The 2,668-nt window shown below is 43.9% G+C and overlaps 1 annotated feature.

The window, feature by feature from the left end:
- Window positions 317-1,516: an enhancer, noted in NCBI's record as "BRD4-independent group 4 enhancer chr3:16101158-16102357 (GRCh37/hg19 assembly coordinates)". NCBI's record gives its function as "activates an origin of replication core promoter dependent on BRD2, P300/CBP, MED14 and CDK7 cofactors, and independent of BRD4, by STARR-seq in HCT116 cells {active_cell/tissue: HCT116}" and the evidence as "EXISTENCE:reporter gene assay evidence [ECO:0000049][PMID:35650434]".

Genomic DNA, 2,668 nt, shown 5'->3' with positions numbered 1-2,668 from the left:
AATGAAACAACTCAGATAAAGCAGAAAAAGACAACAGTGCAGCTAGCCAGAGCCCTGCTGGTGATGCACCCTCTGATTCACTGCAGCTCCAGCCAAGCTTCTCCTGCATGAATTCTCCATTCCTCCATCCCTGACCTTGCTGTGGCCCTGACTCCAGCAATCACTACCTCCCACTGACAGGGGAGGATCCTCTCCCTGATTTTGGCTCTGCCCTGCCTCCACCAGAGTCTCTACACCCCCTTTAGTCCCTTTCTTTTTTTTCTTTTTTTTTTTTTTTGCTAGCTGATCGAGTTTGGAACTGGTCTGTTCTTTGTTGCCCCCCTGGACTCAGCCATAGCATCTCAGACCAAAAGTTCCTAACAATGGTCCCTCCTTGCAAGGAGAGGCTTCCTGAATTATTTTCTCCCCCATTTACCAGGAAATCCACTGATTTTAGAGATTTTCCACCCCTAAGGACAGTAAGAACCTGAGGGCAGAGAGTGTAAGGCATCACGGGGCAGGAGAGGTGAGCATCTATGTGGTGGAAGCTGGGGTGCCGATGCACGTGGCTGCAACAGCATCTCCCAGTGGCCAAGTCACAGGGGAAGAAAAGAATGTTTGTGTCAACCACCAAAGGGCTGAGGTAAACAGTTGTCTTCACTCACTGCCCATTCCTGAAGATGAGTCACTTCCCAAACTTCCAGAGCTGTGACGACAATTGTTTATCTGACATGGACATTGAGCTTGTTTTCATTGCTGCAATACCATCTCAAAGCACACTGGGTTGTCCTTCTTCTGAGTAACAACATCCTCTTATTATGAATTCTGTATTTCATTTGGACCCACCTTCTTAGCATTTGTATTACTCCGTACAACTTGTTCTAGGAAATTGTGAAAATAGCAATATTGAGGTAAATAGAATTCTTTTTCTTTTTCATTTATTTTTAGGAAAATCTTACTGCTTTGATTTTAAAATCTGATGACAAATCTGTGGTTAACCCCACCCATCACTGTGCTGAAGAAAGAAATTGGATATTTTTTCTGTGGAATTTCAGCAGTCAATACTCTTTCCTTATTGCTCAAAGTCCTCCCACAGAGAAGTTCTGGGGAAATAGAGAGAAGGCAAAGGGTGGCAGTTGGGAGCCAAAATGCTTAGAGTTATAGTAAATGCAAAATGTGTTAAAAAGAACCTTGAGCTTTCAGTGGTACCACTGTCTTATATCCAACTCACAGAGCAATGTGGTGGGGGATGTATCAGGCAAGGTTCAATCAAGGAAGCATGACCACGATGAATGATGTAGAAAAACACAGATTTGCAATAGAGATTGGACCTGGAGTCATGATGGGAGCTGGTGGAGATGTCTGTGCAAGGCTGTTCCCTCTGCATTTGGTGGGCCAATCCTGAAGTTGCTATGGGTCAGCAGGCCAGGCTGTTTGGATGGAAAGCTGGGCATGAAGTGCAAAAAAGCAAGGAAAACGAAAATCTGTGAAGACAAAGAGGAATCCATAAGGACCAACTGAAATCCACAGGGACCAACTGCAAGTCATATCTGTCTTCTACCATCTCAATCTCAACCACATCGGTGACCCGCAAGCTGGGATCCTCCATCATGGAGTGACACACACTCCTGGCCAGAGCAGCTACAGGAGGAGGTCCAGAAGGAGGAGAGGAGGTGCAGGCCCAGCTGCTGCCCTGTGTAGGTCCGTGATGAGTGAAGACTGCAGCAGCCCCTTGTGTCCGACACCGACCTCCAGACAGTGATGGCTGATGCTCCACATTCACCTTCCAAATCTCACGCAGATTCCTCACATGGCACTCCTAATCTAGACCATACAGGGGAAGGAATTCTGGGAAATGTAGTTCTAGTAGCTAAGTTGACACAATACAAAACCATCACAGTGGTGGAGTCAGAAATACCAGGCAGATAGTTAAGTATGGTGCTCCCTTCTAGAGGCACCACTAAGCTAACACGCATACACTGCTTACAATGTGCCAGACACTCTTCCCAGCACTTGACACACACCAACTCATTCAATCCTCTGAACAGCCTGATGAAGTAGTTACTTTCATTATTCCTATTTCATAGATGAAAAGCTAAGGCACAGAGAAGACCACAAAGATAGTAAGAGGCAGACAAATTCTAGCATGATAGTGGTCATACTGGGCAGCCCTTCATCTGTACTTTTTATGGCCTGCTATTTTTAAATCCTGAATCCTGCTTTCTTCTAGTTTTCTGTTTTAATATGCTGTTCCCTCTCTGTCAGATCTGGGGGCCCTGACTGAATTTTCTTATGAGTGAATTATTCTGGTATGACTATAGCTCTCCTCTTCCCTGTAATCCATGTGAAAAGAAATGTATGTCTTTTCTCATATTGTCTTAATTCCAGGATAAAAATTTCTGCCTGAAAATAACTCACCTAAGTATTAACTAGGTTTATTTCTCAAGATCATATAAGGAAGTGATTAAGAGTATGGAATTTAGAGGCAGATTTGAATTCCATCTGCACTGGTCACTAGCTGAATGATCCTGGTCAAGTCATAGGCAAATTGGCTATTATTATTATTATTATTTGTAGCAGCCATTTATTGCTGGGTAACAAATCAACCCAAAACTCGGTGACTTAAACAACAATCATTAATTCTTGCTTGTGTGTTCAAAGGTTGGGTGTGGTTCTGTTAATCTAGTCT

The sequence above is a fragment of the Homo sapiens genome, chromosome 3 (genome assembly GCF_000001405.40).
Source record: "Homo sapiens chromosome 3, GRCh38.p14 Primary Assembly".
In the NCBI taxonomy this organism is placed as follows: domain Eukaryota; kingdom Metazoa; phylum Chordata; class Mammalia; order Primates; family Hominidae; genus Homo; species Homo sapiens.
This window is presented reverse-complemented; position numbering and strand designations above follow the sequence as displayed.